Source organism: Homo sapiens, chromosome 18 (genome assembly GCF_000001405.40).
Source record: "Homo sapiens chromosome 18, GRCh38.p14 Primary Assembly".
Taxonomy (NCBI): Eukaryota; Metazoa; Chordata; class Mammalia; order Primates; family Hominidae; genus Homo; species Homo sapiens.
Window position 1 is genome coordinate 73,200,921 of NC_000018.10, and position 25,297 is coordinate 73,226,217.

At 34.8% G+C, this 25,297-nt stretch overlaps 1 long non-coding RNA gene across 1 annotated transcript in view; it reads right to left on the bottom strand.

Moving 5' to 3' along the window:
• LINC02864 (long intergenic non-protein coding RNA 2864) overlaps nt 1-25,297 on the bottom strand; it is a 110,441-nt gene that overhangs the window by 46,863 nt on the left and 38,281 nt on the right. The gene's annotated exons all lie outside the window — the stretch shown is intronic.

Here is a 25,297-nt window from a genome sequence, read left to right on the forward strand (position 1 = left end):
GTTAACAGCCAAGATGCAAAGAACAATAAACATAGTCCCCAGAACAAACACAGATGTGTTCTATAATTTCCTGTCAGGTTGATGGACACAGGAGATAGAAGTGCATTAAGTGATTGTAGGGAAAGAAGTCTTGACTCTCAATATGAGGAAAAGACAGAAGGGAAAACTGGGCCTAACCTATTTTGGCTGATATTTTGGGATATCTTAATATCACATAATTATCAAACACAATGCCTCAATCAAGTCACAGTGATTTTTCTCTAGTATATCTTTTCCATTTGCTATTTTCCCACATTATAATCGTAAGGAAAAATTGTAGTGATGTGTTACATTCTAAAATGCAATTACATCAATTTAATAATTATTCAAATATTCTACTACATACTTCAAGTTTCATGATAGAGGTTTTTATGTGTATATGTAGCATAATTCCTGACTGCAATTATTTCTCCATTTTAAAAACATATTTCTCTGCTGATTACAGTTGTTCCCAATCCCCATAATGCTTTCACAGCAATACCTGGACGAATATTATGTGTATTCATAATTTTGCTTCATCATTCAAGACTGATTGATATAAAGCTCAGTGTATTTCATGTATAGTTAGGGACAGGTGCACCTCAGTGCAGATGGTTGCATTGACTGAACATTTCAATTTAAGTCACATTATCATTCTACATGTACAGGCAGTACTGGCTCACTCTCCATAGAACTCATTTCTGTTTTTGCACAGCACGCAACTTGAATTTACCTTTCCCAGCTTTCTTCTTTTTTTTTTTTTTTTTTTTTTTGAGATGGAGTCTCCCTCTGTCGCCAGGATGGAGTGCAGTTGTGCAATCTTGGCTCACAGCAACCTCCGCTTCCCGGTTCAAGCGATTCTCCTGCCTCAGCCTCCAAAGTAGCTGGGACTACAGGCATGTGCCACCATGCCAGGCTAATTTTTGTATTTTCAGTAGAGACAGCGTTTCACCATGTTGGCCAGAATGGTCTCAATCTCTTGACTTCGTGATCTGTCTGCCTCGGCCTCCCAAAGTACTGGGATTACAGGTGTGAGCCACTGCACCCGGCCTACCTTCCCCAGCTTTCATTGCTGACTGTCCACGACAAAGCATGACTAATGATGGGGAGCAATGGTGAGAGGTGCACCTTCCGTGCTTGGCCCATCAAAACTCCCACACCTCTTCCTTTTTACTGGTTGGGATGGAAATGATTCACAGGGTTATTTGTGAATTATTATAGGGTGGGCGGAATCCCCAGAGTATATCATTTGGCTGCCTGCCCATACATTTGCTCATGGCAGTATAATGTGAGGCAAAACTAAAACTTTCATGCATGAAGTCATGAATATTCAGGATTTGTCTTTTACAGTAGATAGTATTAGTTAAGTCAATTAAGCCCCTTAAATTTTTTTCCGACCACACCTACTCCCCTTGCTCCCCAGAGGCAGCCATTCTAATGAATTGAGTATATATATGTTTTGTATGTTTCTTTCTAAATGCATATATTTGAAGACTAAATTCCTTCAGTGCATTATACATACTGAATTTTGTTTCTTATTTATTTTCACTTAGCACTTTCTTCGTTTTAATTTATTTTTAATTGACAAATAGTAATTGTATATATTTATGGGGTACAATGTGATGTTTTAATATATGTTTAGATTGTGAAATGGTGAAACAAGCTAATCACTTCATCGCATCACATCATTATCATTTTTCTGTAGGGAAATATTTAAAATATATATATTCTTTTAGCAGTTTTGGAATACAGAGTGCACTGTTATTTATTATAGTCACCATTCTGTGCAATATTACTAAAATTTATTCCTCCCGTTTAACTGAAACTTTGTACGGAAAGACAAATACCACATCATCTCACGTGTCTGCGGAGTCTACAAAAGCAGAACTCATGGACATAGAGAGCAGGTGGTGGTTACCAGAGTGTGGCATTTGGGGTGGGTCGGGAAGAAGAGATGTGGGACACTCTTAAAATTGATCCATGTTACTAGGTGCAGAGCTTGAGCATCGCTCTTCAGCACTGTGTAGTGCCCGCAGTGTACATCTTCCACATTTCACTGTACCTCAGTGATAGATTTCCAAATGGCCTCAAATGTCCCTCCAAGCCATACGAAAACAAATACCTTCTGTATGTGCCATGATGAACCTCTGTTAGAGTTTCTAGGGGTTGCATACCCAGGAGCAGGATTGCTGGGCCATGTGAAATGCAGGTATTTAACTAAGCAACCCGAGATGCTCTTCAATAGCTGCAGCAGGTGCTTTTCCATCAGCAAGAGGGTTTCTCCATTCCCCACATCCTCTAGTTTCATAGTGTTTGCTAGTGTAGTAAGTGTGAAGTGAGTTGGCATTATTCTTTTAATTTACATGATTCTAGATAGTGAGTCTGAGTAGTTTTGTATGTGCTTGCCATTCTTAAGGTTCCATTTATACTAACTGCCTATTTACATCTTTTGCCTTTTTTAGGTAGAGATTTCTCGTTATTTTAATGTTTTCCAAAAGATGTTTATTCTAGACAATGTTTTATTATGTAATTTTAACATGGCAAATATCTTTCCCAAAGTTATCCTATAGTTGTAAAGATACTCAGAGCAGAATTTGAGAATATTACACACATCAAAAATTATCTTGCATTAGAAACAAGCTAAAGTAATTAAAATTGTAAAAAGGTTGTATTACCTGGCCTCACTTCCTCACACTGCAGTTGTATTTATTTAAATGAGTAGAGATATTTTCAGGTAAACAGATTTCTTTGACACCTCATATAGTGAAATAATACCTTATATGGTCAACTTGTCTAAATAAATGTGTTTTTTTGTTTGGTTTTTTTTTTTTTTTTTTTTTTACAAAAACCTTATGCCACAAAGATTAAGTAGTTACCTTTAGTAATATTAGTGATTTTTTTGCATAAGATCTAATAGATGATAATGTGGATAATTCTACTTATGATATATTCTGTTACAGTATACTTTGAAATTAAGGGTAAGAGTTACTTGCTTCATAAAAGTTATTCTAATAAATTATAATCATATGATTTTAGAAAACTTGGTTTTTTAGATCCAAAATTTTCAAATGTTGACATCGTATTTATGTTTAATAATGTAGTTGATTAACCAGTTTCATCTTACTTTCTAAACTGTTAAGTTGAGTTTGGACTAATGATAATTCCATTTCTGGACTGAAATTTGCCATCACCAAAGTATTGTTTTAAGATGTATTTTCAGACAATGTGGGCAGTTCAGCCCAATAATCGCTACTTCTAAAAAATTGTTCAAGGAACAAGCCGATGGCCTTTCAGCAGTGAGCTAATGCATACATTATTCACATCTTTTAGCTCATGTTTTTCTTTGTTGAGAATTTAATAGCACAGGTTGGGAGCTCTAGGTTCAAGAACACGCTTGAACCTAACAGCTGTGTGAGCTGTGGCACCCCCTTGCTTTTTTGTGTTTCATTTCCTTCATTTGTTAAATGGGAGCAGTGAAGCTTCTCTTATTAAATATTTGTAAGGAACTGATTGTGGAATGTGCACGATATACTTAGCGCAGCACCAAATATGTAATAACTGTTCCATACATTTCCATTGTTAATATTTTCAAAAACTTTCTCCCATTTCAAAGTCTGGAAATTTCCCACTTTCCTAATCAATTCTTTCTTGATTCCTTTAGTTTATAAGGATCTCTCTCCTTCCTCAAAACTTCTGCAGCATAGGTATGATTCACAGCAATTTTAGCACTTGATTATACTCTATAATCTATTATTTTAAAAATATTTTATGGACATTAATTCTGTCTCACTAAACACATAACAAGCAGCCAGAGATAGAGATCACTTTCTATACTTTTCTTGTCTTGTCTTAGCCACAATGGAGGTGGAGGCAGTGAAGACTTTTGACAAGCTCATTGTTCTTTACAAAGAATAGCAATTAAGAATAATTTAAGGGAGTATGTGTTTTACAGTGGTTATTATTTCATGAATTTTTAAAAGAAGGTTGTGTGTAGTCCTTTATAAGTGTGAATATCAAGTCCTGTACTTACGGTCAAATAAATATATTTAAGGCAGCATTAAAACTTATTACCGACCTAAAAGATACCTAAAAGTGATTCTGACCCCTCCTCAGTGTGTCATATGACAATCTCCTGTGATAAAGGCATATATTCATGAGCAAATCAAATGCCCAACACAGTACTCAAGGCTGGGTTGAGTTCAAAATATATTTAAAATAAATGTCTTATTGCCTGGGCGCAGTGGCTCACGCCTGTAATCCCAGCACTTTGGGAGGCCGAGGTGGGCAGATCACCTGAAGTCAGGAGTTTGAGACCAGCCTGTCCAACATGGCGAAACCCTCTCTACTAAAACTATAGAAATTAGCCAGGCATGGTGGCAGGTGCCTGTAGTCCCAGCTACTTGGGAGGCTGAGGCGGGAGAATCGCTTGAACCTGGAAGGCGGTGGTTGCAGTGAGCCAAGATCGTGCCACTGCACTCCAGTCTGGGCGACAGAGTGAGACTCCGCCTCAAAAAAAAAAAAAAAGAAATAAAAAATATAAATAAATAAATGTCCTATTGATTTATTCAATGTAAGATCAACTATATGTTATTGTCTCTGAGCTTCCCAATGTATGAGGCTTAAATAGCCTAAATTGAAAATCATGAAAGTTTCTTGCAAAGATCTTCTTTCCTCTTTGGGAAGAGGAGTTTCTTTCATCAAAATCCTTGAATTTGGAGGAGAAGGATATGGACGAACACTAGAAGGTGAAAATATTAACTTGGAAAACAGCTTTTGATCTAGAAATGCCTCAAAAAACAATTTTCTATATTTATATTTCGTGCTTCGTGGCCAATCCTTTTCCTATACAGCTTTTAGAATTTTTTTTCTTACAAATACAATAGATAAGTTTCCTCCTTTGTTTAAGGTCTTTCAAATGTACCCTGAGTCTGACTTTACTGCAAACTCCTAGCATGGTGTACAAGGCACTTTACTGACACAGCCTGCTCACATGTCCAGGCCAATTTCTTGCCACTGTCCTATGAGAATACAACACAATACCAAATTGCTCAATTCTCAGTTCTCAGAACATGACTATCACTTTGTTTGTTACAGTTTCCATCCATTTGCTCTTCTGCCTTGAATATATTTCTCTTTTTTTTTCCAAATATTTATTTTAAGATTTATTTCAAGTTTGTTCTTTAGCAATCAGGTATGACTTCCTTTTGGAGTCCTCTTCTAACACTATGTACTCTGAAAAAAATCATAACAACCCCTTCACAAACACAACTCCCCAGTACAGACACACACACACACACACACACACACACACACACACACACCCCTTTCATGGGCACATTTCACCCATACCCATGATCTGTCACAGTGTCTGTAAAATTGTGTTGTAGTCAATTTGTTAGTCTTTCTCATGTCCCGTGCTGACATTTTTCAGACAGGAACTTTCTTCTTTCATATATAGGCTTACCATTTTGTCTGACATAGAATGAGTGTTAAGTAGGTGCTTATTGAATAAGTGACTCAGTTACATAGCTTTGCAAAAAGTGTTGGTATTATGGAGACTAAAGAGATTAATGATAATACAGTGCACTTGTATCTCCTTGCTTTATCTTAAATTATTTAAACTACCTTGCAGCAAAGAAAATAGCACCATTAAACTTTACATTTTAAACAAAAACAAAGAAATATGGAACCAAGAACATGTCAGTGGGCAGTAACTATCACAGAGAACCTATTCTAGGATATGCACCTCTATGTGTAACTCTTCCATATGCTGGACACTTAGGAAAATAAATTTCTTATTGCACCTAATAATTTAAGAACACAAATGCAGAGAGTTTATAAAACTTTTTGGCACCAAATGCTTTGGAAAATAGCTTATTCCTTATACAAAGCATTCAAGAATGGTAGAAAAGTATACTAGATAAAATAAAGTCACCAAAATTATGCTTTCTGGTGTTAACAACTTCTAACATTTGTGTGTATCTTGCTATGTGTGTATCCTGCTAAGTATATATAAGTCATATGTGTGTGTGTATATATATATGTTTTACACATATATGTTTTACACATATGTTTTACACATATATGTTTTACACATATATGTTTTACACATATGTTTTACACATATATGTTTTACACATATGTTTTACATATATATGTTTTACATATATATATGTTTTACATATATATATGTTTTACATATATATGTTTTACATATATATATGTTTTACATATATATGTTTTACATATATATATGTTTTACATATATATGTTTTACATATATATATGTTTTACATATATATGTTTTACATATATATATGTTTTACATATATATGTTTTACATATATATATGTTTTACATATATATGTTTTACATATATATGTTTTACATATATATATGTTTTACATATATATATGTTTTACATATATATGTTTTACATATATATATGTTTTACATATATATGTTTTACATATATATATGTTTTACATATATATGTTTTACATATATATATGTTTTACATATATATGTTTTACATATATATGTTTTACATATATATGTTTTACACATATATGTTTCACACATATGTTTTACACATATATGTTTCACACATATGTTTTACACATATATGTTTCACACATATGTTTTACACATATATGTTTCACACATATGTTTTACACATATGTTTTACACACATATGTTTTACACATATATGTTTTACACATATATGTTTTACATATATATAGAGAGAGATTTGCAACAATTTTCAAAAAATTTTTTGATAAGATTCCTATGGTTATGAACCATAAACCAACAAAAGCAATAACAGCTACAGTGGGCTCTTCTTATTTTATTTCTATACTTTGAATTACTATTTTATATTCTGTTTTGTATTAGTATATCCTCTATGTTTTTTCATTTTAATAAATGCAAATCTATATTACATAATGTTTCATTGTACTTATATGCAATATTATTGATCTGCACTATTTTAGAAAATGTCGCTTAGATTGCTTTTGGTGTTTTCACTTATAAACAATATGGCTATGAACATCCAGACACATATGTTTTAGACTGTGAATGGACAGAGAAAGTGAAAAATTGCCACAAGCCTGTGATGAGCTGAAACCAATTCAAAAGGAAAGTTTTTCCCATTTTTTCCACACTATCTTTAAAAGGATGCTGGTCAGGTGTAGTGGCTCACGCCTGTAATCCCAGCACTTTGGGAGGCTGAGATGTGCAGATCCTAAGTTCAGGAGTTCAAGACCAGCCTGGTCAGCATGGTGAAACCCTTTCTCTACTAAAAATACAAAAAATTATCCAGGCATGCTGGTGCGCACCTGTAGTCCTAGCTACTCGGGAGGCTGGCAGGAGAATTGCTTGAACATGGCAGGCGGAGGTTGCAGTGAGCCAAGATCACGCCGCTGCACTCCAGCCTGGGCAACAGAACTAGAATCCATCTCAAAAAAAAAAAAAAAAAAAAAAGATGCTTGCATAGCAAGAGTCTTAGAAGGTTGAGGCAGTGTCTCTCTTTGGAGCAAAAGGCAGCCATGTTTACTCTTCAATGAAGATATGGGTTCTTGACCAGAAGACACAGATGCCACTAACTCATATGGGGCTTAGCAAAGATGTTGAAGATGTTTGAGTTAATCTTAGGACTATGAGAAAACATCAGTGTGTCTACATGAGGCATTATAACAATATATGTGGTTATGGAGACCCATATATATCCACGATATTACTAGAACTTCAGAAGCTGCTCCCATATTCCCACAGAATCACCAATGGTGACTTTAAATACAAAGTATACCTTTTTTTTATTACACTTTAAGTTCTGGAATACATGTGTAGAACGTGCAGCTTTGTTACACAGGTATACATGTGCCATGGCATTTTGCTGCACCCATCAACCTGTCATCTACATTAGGTATTTCTCCTAAGGCTATCCCTACCCTAGCCCCCCCTTCCCCAGAGAGGCCCCAGTGTGTGATGTTCCCCTTCACACACTGTGTGAACAAATGTGTCCATGTGTTCTCATTGTTCAACTCCCACATATGAGTGAGAACATGTGGTGTTTTGTTTTCTGTTCTTGTGTTAGTTTGCTGAGAATGATGATTTCCAGCTTCATCCATGTCCCTGCAAAGGATATGAACTCATTCGTTTTTATAGCTGGATAGTATTCCATGGTATGTATGTGCCACATTTTCTTTATCCAGTCTATCATTGATGGGCATTTTGGTTAATTCCAAGTCTTTGCTATTGTGAACAGTGCTGCAATAAACATACATAAATCATAGTAGAATGATTTATAATCCTTTGGGTATATACTCAGTAATGGGATTGCTGGGTCAAGTGGTATTTCTGGTTCTAGATCCTTGAGGAATTGCCACACTGTCTTCCACAATAGTTGAACTAATCATGGGTGAACTCCTGTTCACAATTGTTACAAAGAGAATAAAATACTTAGGAATACAACTTAAAAGGGCTGTGAAGGACCTTTTCAAGGAGAACAAAAAAACACTGCTCAAGGAAATAAGACAGGATACATTGCTCAAGGAAATAAGAGAGGATACATACAAATGGAAAAACATTCCATGTTCATGGATAGGAAGAATCGATATTGTGAAAATGCCCATACTCCCCAGAGTAATTTATAGATTCAATGCTACCTACATGAAGCTAGCATTGAATTTCTTGACAGAATTAGAAAAAACTACTTTAAATTTCATGTAGAGCCAAAAAAGGGCCCGTATAGCCAAGACAGTCCTAAGCAAAAAGAAAAAGCTGGTGACATCACGCTACCTGACTTCAAACTATACTACAAGTCTGCAGTAACCAAAACAACATGATACTGGTACCGAAACAGATATATAGACCAATGGAACAGAACAAAGACCTCAGAAACAATGCCACACATCTACAACCATCTGATCTTCAAAAAATTCTGACAAAAGCATGGGGAAAGAGTTCCCTATTTAATAAATGGTGCTGGGAAAACTGGCTAGCCATATGCAGACAACTGAAACTGGACCCCTTCCTCTCACCTTACACAAAAATTAACTCAAGATGGATTAAAGACTTAAACGTAAGACCTAAAACCATAAAAACCCTAGAAGAAAACCTAAGTGGTACCATTCAGAACTTAGGCATGGGCAAAGACTTCATGACTAAAACACCAAAAGCAATAGCAATAAAAGCCAAAATAGACAAATGGGATCTAATTAAACTAAAGAGCTTCTGCCCAGCCAAAGAAACTATCATCAGAGTGAACAGGCAAACTACTGAATGGGAGAAAATTTTTGCAATCTACCCATTTGACAAAGGGTGAATATCCATAATCTACAAGGAACTTAAACAAATTTACAAGAAAAAAACAAACAACCCCATCAAAAAGTGGGTGAAGGATATGAACAGACACTTCTCAAAAGAAGATATTTGTGTGGCCCACAAACATATTTTTAAAAAGCTCATCATCACTGCTCATTAGAGAAATGCAAATCAAAATCACAATGAGATACCATATCACGCCAGTTAGAATGGCGATTATTAAAAAGTCAGGAAACAACAGATGCTGGAGAGGATGTGGAGAAATAGGAATGCTTTCACACTGTTGGTGGGAGTGCAAAGTATGCCTTTGTCCTTAACTGTAGTTCACACTTTTTAATGCTTAAATGTGGAATATTTTATCATAATTTATTAATGTTTTCATTTTCTTGAATAGATGTGTATAGGCTAGTTACACTTGCCATGAATTCCATATTGGGATATGTCTATGCATAATAACAAGGGAATGTAGATTCAGGTAGGGAGGAGGACCATTGCTCCAGCTCTTGGTCCTCAGCTGACCCAGACCCCTTTATCTGTGCTAAGCATCCATTTATTGGCACTCTGTACCACTCGGCTTCCTTAGACAGCAGAGACAGATCTCAAACATTTTTTACCAGGAAGTTTTCATGTTGTAAGTGTTTCAAGTTTGACAACCTTTTCACCAGGCACAGTCTTTGCAATACAACAGGTTTCAAAGGGCAATATTTGTAATACTACATGGAGAGGTCCCCTTAAACTCCCTTATTTATTTACTATTTATGAATTTATTTGCATTTAATAACTAAAATGACCACTTACATGATACGTATTCTTTAAGCCGAGTTTATTCTTTTGACAAATATTTTTATATCACACTAGGATAGATTCTGGTAATCAAAAATAGACACAGTCCCTGCTCTTATGGATGGCATAGTCTAATCAACCAAATAATTATATCAAGAATTAAAATTCTATTTGTTGTAAGAGTTAAATAAGAAAGAGTTATGTGAAAGTAAGGAATATAAACTAGTGTGGGTGGGTGCTGAGGGTAAAGAAGCTTCCCAGAGAAATTGACAATAGAGTTGGTAGGCAAAAGGTGAGGTGAAATTAGCAGATGTAAGAATGGAAAGCAAGAGGCTGGGGTAAGGGAGGACTGCATTCCAGGGAGTGAAAAGTGTCTGTAAATCTCCTATAGACATGAATATCTTTTTCCTGAATTATTCCACCTTGATAAACAATTTCCTTTAGATAGATAGATAGGTACACAGATAGATGATAGATAGATAGATAGATAGATAGATAGATAGATAGATAGATAGATAGAGAGATAGATAGATAAAATATATTGGTTCTAAAATGATATGTTTATAGGACTGCTTCCTTAAAGTTTTGTTTAACCAAGCCTCTGGCTGGAATTATGATTTCAATTTACCATATTTCTCAAAACTGTGAAATTTCTCTTCCTCTCTTTTAAAAAATTTAAAAAGGAATGTAGCCTACTACATAAAAATTGTTTATAAAATAATTACAACTGGGAAAATTATACATCCCAATTTTAAAGTCTGAATATTCCTAAGCCCCAACTCTGTACCATATCAACTGAAGAAATGACACTAGGGAAAGTAATGTATCAGGTAGATATAGACATTATTATATTAGGCCTAACTGGCTGCTATTTGGGGGCCAATCATATAAGACATACTACTTGATAAGCTTGCATGTAGTATGACATAAGAATCATGAATTAAATTCTTGAATTTTATGATGTAGGACAGTCTTCATATATGGTAGAATAAATCTAAGACTAATACATTTATATATAAAATGTATATTACACCAATTTTTAGCACAAAATACCATGACCTGTATTAAGGAAAATACTCCTTTTTTCATCATATTTTTCTCTTGTAACTGCATATAACAGATAGATGGTTATGATCATATTATATTTACACTGAATATCAACTCTCCTTTCTCTCACTGACTTATAATCTGTTGACTGCAGCATATTTTAAAGGATGTAAGAATGCGCAACCACCATCTGGCTATTTGAATTTTTGAGCAAAGATATTTTGGGCAATGAATTATTTTACTGTTGCGATTGTCCTAGTTCACGAATAAATATCATGAAGGATTTTTGTCTGCAGAGAAAAGTGACCTCTGTCTATTATATGATCTCAATGAGAGTGTTTGACCTTCCTAAATCCTTGACATAAAATACAATATAGATGCAAATGAGCTCTGGATTTCCAAAATAAGTTCCTTCCATGACACCCTTTATTACATTTTTAAAATCTAGCCAAAGAGAGACAATTCAAAGTGCTCTATATAGTGAATTGAATTCCGTTCTGTTTTCAGCTGCTCACAAATGCAGAAGCTAAATAGAATCCTTTAGAAAGCACACAAAGAGAGAGAGAGAGAGTGACGTAACTGAGGAATGAGGCATGTATAGATGGTCAAAACATGAAGTCAGACAGATAACACATCCACAGAAAGTTCTTATCTTGTGCATACAGAAATATATATTCTATCCTCATTTTCTGGGGCACCGAGGCTCAGCTAGAGAATGGGGTCTGAGACACTTAGCAAAACGAAAATCATGAATATAGACTGAACAATGATGTGAATAAACATTGGATTACCAGTTACAAATAAGCATGGGGATTTGTGGAAACTGTGGGGATAAGGAGGCAGAAGTTAAAAAAAAAAAAAAAAAAAAAAAAAAACTCATGTCAACCCAAAGAGGATGGCTAATGCCTGTAATCCCAGCACTTTGGGAGGCCAAGGTAGGAGGATCACTTGAAATTAGGAGTTTGAGACCAGCCTGGCCAAGATGGTGAAACCCCAACTCTACTAAAAATACAAAAATTAGCCAGCTATGTTGCCTCACACCTGTAATCCCAGCTACTCAGGAGGCTGAGGCAGGAGAATCACTTGAACCCGGGAAAAGGAGGCTGCAGTGAGCCGAGATTGGGTCACTGCAGTCCAGCCTGGGCCACAGAGCAAGACTTCATCTCAAAAATAAAAATTAAAACAATAAAATTTTTTAAAAAATGACAAAGAGGCATAACGCAAATATAGTCCCACAGAGGAAAAAAATAGGGGGGTTTAGTTGCTGTCTAATGGAAAGCATGATGCTGTTAAGAAACCTAGAGCAACATCAAGGGAAAATGTGTAGTCTGTGTATGGAATAATCAGAAGAGGTGGTATTAAGCAAAATTTTCAGATAGGCAATGGTGGCACACTAGAAAATAGGAACAAGGAAGGAAGAATAATTTCAAGGTAAAAAAGGAGTTTACTGGGATAAATGGATCTCAGAAAGACAATACATTGTTTTTATATGATTTAAATCTAACTTTTCTTTCTTGTGTTTTCCTTTGTAAAAACAAATCCCAGAAAATCCAGTAATTTAAGAGATCAATACAATTTTCCTATTCATTGATGAATTGTGTTTGTGTGATATGTGCATCCTACTGCTAAAAACACATTCCGATGGGCAGAATGGTATTTAAAAATGAACACATAAGCATGACTTGTTATTAACAATTTTTTAAAAAGTAAATGTTTTCTTAATATGAATTTCTATATTACTTCAATGACACAGAAATTTATTATTTCACTTTTTTCTACTCTTCTCTGCAGTTTACTTTGATTGCCTTGAGAATGTTTCACTTTCTCCTTTATGGGTAGAGTACAATTAATTATCTTGGCATTAACCCACAAGGATACCAAGAAGAGTTTTTCAATTAAAAGCAAAGAGAAAAGATATTAGAGTTGGTTACATGTGTCTCTAAAGTAATCAGACTATATCACAGAATATGAGCACATGAGCCAGTCAGCACATATCCAATGCCATGCTTCAAAAAATTCTAGACTGGTTTTCCTAAACCACCTAAACTACGGAAGTTCACCCAGGAAAACTATAATTACCAAATAATTTGTATTTGACCCTGAGAATGTAACAATATTTGAATATACTTACATCTAAAAATTTGTGAAGATTGAGTTGTAAACAAAATGATATAGCTGCATTATCAATATTAACTCGAAGATCCAGAAAATCATTTTATCTTGATCACATTACCCTGAACCTTTAAATGTCTCCTTCTTAATTTCAGTTCAATAAGCATTGACACAACATTGATCATTGTGCAGACTCTCATGCACTCCATACTGGAGATGCAACATTTCAGTAGTCCTTGTGATCAATGACATTAGCATAAATTATAGGCCCCAATATTTGCCTTCCTATTTCTAACCATTGCTCTACCTCTTCCACTCCATTCCACAGAGCTACAATAAAAAACAAAACACAAAATCGTGGTTTAGCAGAAAATGACCTCATGCTGTTCATCTGACATCTCTATTGGAAAAAGTGGAATATTCCATATTTGCCTTACAATTTCATCTTTATAAAGATGTAGGTCCCCAAATTACATCATATCATAATTAAATTATCATTCAACCATATCACCAATTTAACTTCTTTTTGTTATCATTAGAACCTACTGATTTAGTAACTTGAATGATCAAAGGAAATGCCTCTCATATTTGCCTTGACCAAAGTCTTATTCTTCAATTCAACATATACGCATTGAGTTTATATGACAGATGCTAAGATACACGTGTGGTACAGTGATGAAAAAGTAGACAAGGCTCCTCCCCTTTGGTAGTTCACATTCTTGTGGGGAAAGAAAAAGATAAAAAATCAAAGTACGTAATCAAAAAGAATCATTACACAGTGTGGAAAATACTATTCCAAAGATACATGATATAAAGAAATTTGGGTCGGATGAGTACACCACCGTATTATGAATAATGAAGTCTTAAGAATGACAAGAAGGAAGAGACATGGGCCATTGCATTGTTGCGTTGTTGAGCTGGGTGGCGACATAGTGTGTACATTCGTCTTCCCAGCCCTGTGTTCAGTGACGTCACGCTTTGGGAGTTTAAATTTACCCTGGTAGGAGTATTTGCACAACAGAAATCAGCAAACATCAGGTATTAGGGATTTTTTTTCCTTTCCTTTCCTTTTCTTTTTTTTCCCCAGAGCCAGCTATTAAATATTTACCAGCAAGCAAATATAAGCAAAGGGAAATATTCTACTGTATACAAGCAAAGGGAAAAGTATAAAGATGCTGATCTAAGAGGTATGTTTTGGGAGGTGGGGGAATTACACCTAATAAGCCCTTATTTCAAACATGGAGAAATAAATGTATAAACTCTATCATTAATAATGCATTTTTCTCTGATACAATTAAATGAATATTGAACAAATACAATATATTTATTTGAAAGGATACCATATTATTAGCTTGACCTCATTTACTTATTATTTCTTGGCAAAAGGAGGATAATGTATCATAAAGGATTATTGTGAAGAATAAATTAGACATTACATGTGGTATACATAGGTAACACAGGTAAAGAACCCTGGCATGTACTAAAGCCTTGATCACTGTTGACTATTATTATTAATTGTTGAACACTCTGGACACTATAGTTATGCCAAAGGCTGAATTTCCCCAAATGCAAAATACTATTTTCGTATCTTAAACATCCTGATCTCCTGGTCCTCTCTTGGCCTCAAAAATTCCTCTGTCTACCTGAAAAAGCTCTATTCATCTATCAGTTATCTACCCAAATTTCACATTCTTACTTTCTTCCTAATTTCTTGTTCATAGTGTCATAATATCTCACATACCAGGCCCTGTTTCAGCACACAAACTGATGCTATAACATACATAATTTTATTTACATGACTTTATCTCTCACAGAGTAAGTTCTGGAAAGAAGTAAGCATGCTCTTCTTTGGAGACCTTTTCTATTTTTAATTTGTTTCAGAGTACTGTGGCATTTGTTACATGGCCTGGTATGGCAAAACATCAAGTTCATTATAATATTCTAAACACATATTAAAATGTTACTTAATATCCATTGAAATTTTAATGTTTTCCAAAGTTTATTACATTGTAAGATCTCTGATGCTGTATAGAAACACTCTAGATGTTATCTACTTGCACATTTAATATGTATGCACCAATTATATCTTTTACTAATTTATTCATGTTCTCTGGTTGCATTATATATATTATACACGCATAATGCATTATAATGGTAATATGTATAATTATATATTATATAGAAATATAAACATATATATATGAATACTTTATTTTGTCATTCATTAAGTTAACTTATACTTTGTGTCCTGCTTTCAACCAGCATTTCTGCGTTCTTGATTTATCACAAATGATATCTCTGAATTAATGAAGTGTAATGTAAGTTCTTTTAAATCATTTTCAATGGTGCTAGGACCTTAGAATACTTTGCTTTCAATTACTCTCTCCCTTCTTTGTGTAATTATTTTAAACATGCCTTTGTTAAGATCCCAGTAATATTTTTATTATTTTGTGATCAAATATTCAGTTTTAAATAAATGGAAGTAAGATTGCATTATTAGAAATTTAATACGCATGAAACAATATGTTAAAAATATAACATTTAAAATATTACAAACCTTTTGAAAGTCATTTTATGTACAGAATTACACTTGATGTTAATTATACTCAAAGATATTATTGCCACTTTGTAATCCTGTAAGCAAAATAAGTTCACTTTCTCATTTTTAGGGAACACATATGCATCTAAACACAGAACTACCCATCCCAGCAAATTCACTTATGATTTTTAACAGAAACAACAAAAAAAGATCTAAAACTTAGATTTAAATTGGAATAAAATATGATTGCACTTCATTTCTTTTAGGGATTTTTATTATATTCTGCTGATTATTATTATACTCATCACTTTATTTCCCTTAAATGCGTAATTGTTTCTGTCAGACTGCAGAACATAGCTGTTTATGTCAATACAGTTCAAAAATGTGAAATACTCACAGACACATACATAATAATTTATTTTATTTTCTGCAATACTGGAATGCACAACAGATGATATTTCCAGAGTTTTCTTTTAACATTCTTAAAATAAAAATATAGTGTTTTGATTATCAAGTAATTATGTGTCATTTAACTCATTCTGTAAATCCTTGGCATATTTAGCTACGTAGGTAAAAAGGAGCAGGACACATGCCACTTCCCCGCGTACTCTTTTGACCTCTATTTTTACCTTGATTTTGCTTTCTCTGCTCATAGATGTAAAAAAGTTATGCTAATGAAAAAGTATTTTCACTTTATTATACATTATAACTCACAGTTTATATAACAGCTGAAGGCAGTAATCAAAACAGATTTTCTATTCTGACACATTGTTTTATCAAAATTGTTTATTCTTTAGGTTGTCTCTTAAAGGATTTTAAGCTATCTCATTTCTCCAATAATTCTTACTTCCTGTTAGCTTGTTACACTAAATAGATGTTATATATAGATACAGATATATAAACGTAGATAAAATTAGAAGTTCTTCTTTAAGATATTAACCTGAGTACTAGGTTTCAAGTGAAAAATATCTTTAATATTCATTAGATGCCCCTTTACCATCTGAAGCTAGTATAACAAAACAATAGAATTCATAAATTCGTATTTTTCCTTTCACTGTACATTAAGATCACAATTGATACCTACTTGGAATGCTATTAGTTTCTGACATGTGTATATTTTAATCCACATTGCTAGAGCTGTGTAGACCAACGCTACACATATTGCAAGTGTGCACATGTAATATATAGGGCATGTTTGTATATTTGCAACCACACATATACACAAACTATCACAACAAATTAGGCTATTCACTAAAAAAGTTTTATTAATATACTGCTACCAATTAAGCACTGTGCAAAACACAAGGAATATAATAGTGACCAAAAAAACTGTCTAGACTTAAAATAATATTTCTCTAAACCATCTCTGAAACTGGGAAAATGAAGTTTTATTATTAACACAGAACTTGCAGGGGAAATAGAGGGGAAATGTGCTCAATGAGAGAGAAGTCTTTAGAGTTCATTCAGGTAGATGACAGCGGGAGCAAGATGAAATGACAAATATTTACAAAGAAACAAACTCTTTCAAGGCTGGAAAAGATTATTCCGTGATTAAAGCTCAGTTATTTCTAATTTCTAATTCTTACTAGACTATGTGTTATATGAAAACAGAGTCACAGAAAACCCTTTCTAAAGAAGATTCTTTGCAGAGATTTAAGAGAATCCTGCAACATCAGAAACAGTTTTTCTTAAAGCTGTCACCGTGGAACTGAGCAATAGAAAATGATGACAAATGCTCTGGAAATGTGTTGTTCCTGCAGAGATGTGATCCAAGTAAGCGTCAGTTTCTTTCAGCAGCAGCAATTACTCTGCTCCAGGAGACATAAGGTGAGATTTAAACATTTATTTATATTAAGAGATTTCAAAACTGTCCTTTAAAATGTATATATTCAAATTGCCTGTTTGTGGTTCTTTCAGATTCTCTGGTCTACTACTCAGAAATGTGTGAAATAATATAATTCCATTTTCATTTGCCTTACTATCCTGCTTTGGCCTACACCCAGAAAATAGCTATACAAACTATCTAAAGAGACATCAGCTATCACTTGGAAAAAATAAAATATTTTGAGACATACGAAGGTCAAAAATAATTGAAATAAGGCAAATCTTCACAAGGTAGTAAGTAGATATTATCAAAAGAAGACTAAACTAGAAATGTGAACAGAAAAATCTATGAAGATAGCTGCTACCCTAGGGGAACACATTAAGTGTGCTACTAAATAACTACAGTAGTGAGAAAGTCTGATACTTATGCTTAAGATATGACAAAAAGCTTAATATGCAATATATAATAAAAAGATAAGTAAATACTCCTCTAAGCCTGAGTCCACAATGTTTATTATTATTATTATTATAGTAAATCAATAAAACTACTGTCCAGTAAGCAAGTGGTTATTAATTTGTTCCTTCATTATTCAACCCCAAATTAGTCAAACACATTAGTTATTTACAGCTAACCCTAAGCTGAGCACAAATAAAAAACATAGTCTACAATGTTAAAAATACAATGCTTGAGGGCACCAGAGTGCTAACAACATCAAAAGATTATTAGACAAGTTTCAGAAGGGATAAGAACTCTAGAGAGATGAGCCCCACTTTGGGTGCCACTTTTATCCTGAGGGTATTATCCAATGTGGGGAAGTTCTGGAGTGCTTTTTAGCATTCTTTCAAGGCTAAGTTAAAAGGTATAGGCTGGGTCCTATTGTGCCATGTCCACACTCCCTTAAAGGTAGGTAGGAATCAGAAGTAGACATCACCTTCCCTGTCAGTCTCAAATGGCCTGGGGTGCCCCCTGTTCCAGCTCTTTTAGCCCATAGTCTTTAAGTTACCTCTTGAAATAAATGGATGATGCCCACAGAGACCTCCAGGTATCTGAACCAGGAAATATCCTCTCACTAGGGACAGTCAACCTAGCAGTACATCTATGAGTTGAGTTTCCCTTTTGGAAATGTTATAGGTGGATGCCTCCTCTCCATCAACACTCTTTTATTTCCTGGTATTGAGCCTCTGTACTACTTGTGAATAGCCTAGAATGGCCCACACCTGCCTTGTTTATGGATGCTGTGATCTTTGTGTATGTGGGTGAATGTTCTCCAGAAAGAATGGGTTTTTCTTCATCCTAACCAAGAACTCCCTATGGGGACATGATGCTCAAAAATTTCAGAAATGTGACATCAATAGGTTATGGGCTTCAACTTAAAACCAGTAAGTTGCTCAGTATCATATTTATGGAGGAAAAGTTAATAAACAGAAAATAGACAAAGATCACCAGGAATCACTTGTGGTCCTTCATTGAAGAAAAGCTTGTGAATGCTGGCATTGAAGTTCATCACAAGAACAAGAAGGGTCATTTGAGAACTCATGTGATACATGGCCTCCAGGATGTAGAGAAGATAATCAATGTAGGACAATCTTCTGCTGGATTCCAAATCTTAGTGTGCTGAAAAGAAGTGCTCCTGGGATGAAACCCTATGGATTTAATACACATGAAAAATATAGGAAAGCCTTTAGCTGTCCCTTATACCGTGGGAAACAGAAAAACTCACACTGAAGAAAGACTCTGTGGATGCTTCATCCTTTTAGAATCATATCAAAGCTTTCCTGAGCACTACCCCGGTTAATCTAAGGAATGAGGACAAGCCTGAAATTGTCTGTTGAATTTGAGGACTCTCGTGAGGTCTCTCAATGAAGAAGAACACTATAAATGGGAGGATTGCAAGGTTGCTGTCTGTCATATATCAGGGGTCACACTGGAAAGATTTAATACATATGGACAGAATGTGAAGAAACACTTGTTTCTCACTGGTCATTAAATATTTGAGAACTCATGGTGGAGAGAAACCTTATGAAGGTATAAAATGTGGGAAGGCTTGTAGTTATTCCTACCAACTTAGGGCACCTACCACGCACTAGACAGAAGCTGTATAAATGTGGAAACTGGGGGAAAGCTCTCAGTGAATTTTCCTACCTTGCTTCAGATGGGAGAACCCACAAGGAGTGAGACACCATAGAAATGTAAGAAACGTGAGAAAATCTTTCCTTCAACGTATAATTTTAAAGATACGTGAGAACTCACACTAGAGAGAACACATAAAGATGTGTCGTGTGGAAAAGGGGTGTTAATTACTTACACCTAACCATGCACTGAGAAAACACACTGGAGATGCAACTTAGAAATATAAGAAATGCAGGAAAGTCTACATATCTTTTTTTTTTTTCCATTTTAGGCAACATGTGGCATCTCACACTATGGAGAGACTATAAATGTGAAGAATATAGGAAAGCCTTCAGCTGTCCCTTATACCGTGGGAAACATAGAAAAACTCACGCTGAAGACTCGTGACTCTAAAAAATGTGGGAAAGCTTCCTGTACATCATCTCTCTTTTTTGCACAAAAGAAAATATATACTGAGAGAGAGATCTTTTTTGAAAATCTTACACTGTGAAATTTTCTTTATTCATATCTTATCCTTAAAAATGTATCTCTGAGTAATTTCAACTTTTTATTTTCTGGTATAAACGGTATGGTCACAAATATGACTTTCAGTACCCTTTCTGATAGAGCACATTGGTTTAGATATATAATGCCATGATTATGGTTTGGTTATGTAGAGATTATCTTATTTCTATTACAAATTCTTTTGGGTAAAAAGGCAGACAGATCCTCACAAAGAAAGTAATCTAACTTCAGATCATCTGGGGAATCTCAGAAAATCTGAAGACTCTTACAAGGAAAGTGATATCTTTCAGGGACCCACACATTGGTGGGGTCCCATCAGCACAGATAGCAACAAAGTTTCTTGGAAACAGAACTGCTTGTCCTCAGATACAAGGAGAAAACTTTAAATATGCCATAGATGTTGTTTTATCCAACTCTTTGTAGAAGAAAAACCTTAATTTTATCCTCATTTAAATATCTTACAAATGCTACAAAGTGACATTTATTGGTGAAATTAATTTTCTCACCAAATTGAATAGAGAAGCTGGTGTTTTCCAGTATTTTATACAAAACCTCTTCACATCATGTGACTTATTGTCAATGTGACAACTTTTCTTTACGGTTTGAGAAGGGAACCTTTACAAGTTTTCACGCTATATTTTATCCCAGCACTTTCCTCACTTCAGTTATACACGGTAATGTAGGAACTATGAGGCTCTTCCTGTTCAGGGTTGGCATCCTACTACTGAATAACTTCCTGAATTTTCTCAACTGAATATAACTTTTTTTTTTTTAACAAAAAACAATATTAATCTGTTTTGAGACTCCAAAATCTATTCAGCAACTTACAGAATAACTGATTTTCGGATGTGTCTTTTCAATTTTACTGAAGTAGTTGCATCATTTGTAAATGGTTAGTCACAGAGGCTGTGCAGTGGACTAGGAAATCTTGGGTTAGCCCTTATGTAACACTCATTGATAAGAAGCTTTCATGTTAAAGGCGGGCTTTTAAAAACTGTCCTTGAATGCACCTGTGCAGTAAAATGACTCAGAAGTCTGTAATTCTTCATCACTAACTTTGTCAGATTTGACTGTAAACCTCGGCTTTGTGTTTTCCTCTTCCAGTTCATACATCAACTTCAGGAATTTCAACACTGGGTCATTAGGCATGTTGGCAAAACACAAACACCGATGAAATTCAAGAGAGAAAGATGCAATAAGTAACAAGGAGAATTGGCAAAATACATGCAAACATTATTGCAAAATTTGCTTCTAACTTACACAATTCAAGTTTTGCAAAATAACATCAGCAATAAAAGGCCACGGTGCAAGCTGCATCCTGGTGCCTAAAGAGCTTTTTGGGGAAAGATGAGAACATATCTCTGATGTTCCATGGTAAGGGTAGAGTTTGCTTGCTCTCATTGGTTCATCAGTCCTACTTAAAGGGAAGCTGGGGAAAGTGAATGCAGGAAGAAGCATCTGACTTTATCAGCCTAACATTATACATTCTGTCAATGATCTCCACTTTCTTATGTGAAAAGCTAATGAACTCAACTGAATGATCACAGTTCCACTGCACACCACCTTGCAGGGCTGGAAGACTGCTAAGGAAATTGCCTAGTCACTATACATCTCTGTGAGCAGTAGCATCATATTGCACACAAAGTTCAAAACACTTTTCCACATCATAATTTCTCAAGGAAACTATAGAGACAACTTTAGAAACCCTCAGCTTATGCAGAAGTCTTCTTGAGAAACATTTTGGTGTCTACCTCAATCTGTCTTCTGTGTTCAACTTAATGGTCTGTCAATACATTGCTATATTCAAAAATGTTTCTACATCAAAGAGACTTAGGGCTTATTACACTAAAACATTAAATAAACAATAACCATGGTCTTGTTGTTGCATAGCCCACCTCTGGTTGGGGATGAGGTCTTCTGTAGACCCTCACTGGAAAATTCTCATTAAGAAAACCTTGAGGAAGAATATTCTTTTTAGATCTGAATGTTCATAATAGACCCTTTCATATTTCCTTTAAAATTTAGCCAAAATTTTTTGAGCTCCCATCTAGTGCGATATGGGAAAGTGGAGATCATCTTCATCTGCAACATCACAGAGGATTCCCAAGAAGTTTATGTTTCTCTCGGTTCTCATTGGCTCTTTTTTCTTGCTTCAAGTCAGCCACTCCTTCCCTCTTATATTTGTCTCCTCTGGATCCCATCTGTTCCTGACACCAATGGATCCATGCAAATCTCCACCTTCATGCACTGCCCAATACCAATGCTAACACAAGGCCACAGTAGGAGCAAACACTTCTTATGATCAAATTAGGAGGGATTGTTTTTACGGTACACATCAGTAGAGGAGAGAAAGTTAAAATTACATGCTACATTGCTGGTGGGAATGCAAAATAGTACAGCCACTGTGGAGGACAGTTTGGCAGTTACTGACAAAATTACGCATACTCTTACCATAGGATGTAGCAATCATGCTCTTTGGTATTTACCCAGATGAACTGAAAACATGTTCATGTAAAAACCCACATGTGGATGTTTACAGCAGCTTTCTTCATAATTGCCAAAACTTGGAAGTAATGATGTCCTTCAGTAGGTAAATGTGTGAATAAAATGTGGTATATCTAAACAATAAAATATTACTTAGTGCTAAAGAGAAATGGCCTTTCAAGCTATGAAGACTTGTGGATAGATTAAATGCATATTACTCAGTGAAAGAAGTCAATGTAAAAAGGCTACTTACTGTGTGATTCAAACGACATGGTATTCTGGGAAAGGCAAAACTGTGCAGAAGTAAAAAGATCAGTGGTTGCTGGGGGACAGGAAGAGGGAGGGATGAATACATGGAGCACAGTGGATTTTTACGGCAATGAAACTACTTTGTATGATACTACAATGATTGACATATATATATATATATATATATATATATATATATTTATACATTTGGCAGAAACCTGAGAATGCACAATACCAAGAGTGAGCTCTAATACAAACTTTGGGTGAAAATGAGGTCTTGATGTAGATTCATTCCTTATAACAAATGCTTCACTCTGGGGCATTAATGTTCATGGTGGGGGAAGCTGTGTGTGTGTGCAGGCAGGGAGTGATGGGAAATCTCTGTACTTACTGCTTTTGGTGTGAACCTCAAACTGCTCTAAAAAAATAGTCTGTTAAAAAATTGCTAGATTTCAGATTTGCTAAAGTTGCTTGGTCATTCCTGGTATATGAAATTCAATTGCCTAGGTCATCTTCAGGACACCCACCTGCCATAGTCTTGACAAGATCCCTCTTTTATATCAAATCCTCTTTTTTTCATTTTTTTCAGCTCCTCCTTCTAGAATACCTTAAAATCCAAACATGTACGTACAGTCTTATGTTGCATAACAGAAAATTATGCCATTAAAGGAAAATAAAAAGAAACAAATAAATAGGCATCTAACCAGGGCTACAAAGACTTCATTGTCTCAAATAAAGACTTAGTAAGGCATTTTCTGTAGGGAAATTATCCAACAATAAAATGAATGTATCTTTGACATACTGATTTCATTTCCTTTGGCTATATACTCAGTAGTCAAATTGCTGGATCATATAGTAGTTGTGTATTTAATTATTTTAGAAACTTCAATACATTTCTTCCTAATGGCTGTACTAGTTACATTCCCACCAACGGTGTATCTGGGCTCCCTTTTCTCCACATCCCTAATGACACTTGTGATCTTTTTGATAAAAGAAATTGTACCAGGTGTGAGGTGACATTTCATTGTGGTTTTAATTCCAGATCAGAAGACAATTCTGTTATTAGCAACAACATGGATGAACCTGGAGGACATTATGCTAAATGAAATAAGCCAGCACAGAAAGAGAAATGCTGCATGATCTTAACTTATGTGTAATCGAAAAAAGTCAAACTCAGAAAAACAGAGAGTAGAATGCTGGTTACCAGGGACTTGGGGAAAGGGGGAGTGGGGAAATACAGGTCAAAGGGTGTAAAGGTTCAGTTAGACAGACAGATTAAGTTCTGGAGATCTGTTGTACAGCATCATGATTTTAAATAATAATGATGTGTTGCATATTTGAAAATTGCCAAGAGAGTGGATTTTAAATCTTCTCATGCACACACACACACACACACACACACACACACACACACACACGAGTATGTGAGGTGACAGTCATGTTACTTAGTTTCATTTACTCATTTGCTGTTATATACATACCATAACAGCACATTGTACCCCATAAATAGGTACACCTATTGTTTTATGTGTCAAACAAGAAATAAGAAATATATTTTTCTTTTAGAAGTAACCTTTCTCTTTTTCCTCAGAATAGCATTTTCCCTTCCAGTTACTTCAGTCTCTACGAGATCTTCAATAAACTTCATCAATAACTTGTTTATATCTTTTTATACCTACTGTATATAAGAAGTACTAAGAGCAAGAACTCAAACCCTTATTTTGTTAGTCTTTAAATTCTGCACACTCTGTACCACAGAAAGATGCCGTTCCTCCATCTCCAATTTCCATGGGATCTGCGCATGTACTTTCCCCTGGATCTTAAGGTGATTTATCTTTTCTGTTTTTGACATACAGGTGCACTTGAATTTTAGACTCTCATTAGGTGAAATTTCAAAGAATTTAAAAGAATTAACTAAAAATGTGCTAAAATTATTTTACAGGTATTTCCATGTTTGCATAATACTCATCAATACCATGATATTGAGTTTTTGTGACAAGCATAATAGAAATATTTTTTACTTATGGGATGTAAGCATAGGCATGTCTCCAGCTGTCCCAGTTTGTATGACTATTTCTGAAATATCTCTTTCCATATGCTGAAAAATAACGTCAAGGAGAAGAAATGCTGCTAGAACAACAGTCTCTTCACCTTCTAAGTGAAGTAGAACTGGTTTAGTCAAAAGCAGTTGTGCAAAATAGTCACTTAAAATATCCATTAGGAATGCTCCATGCTTATTTTAACACAAAGCATTTTGGTTAATATAAGGCTGCTTCATCTCT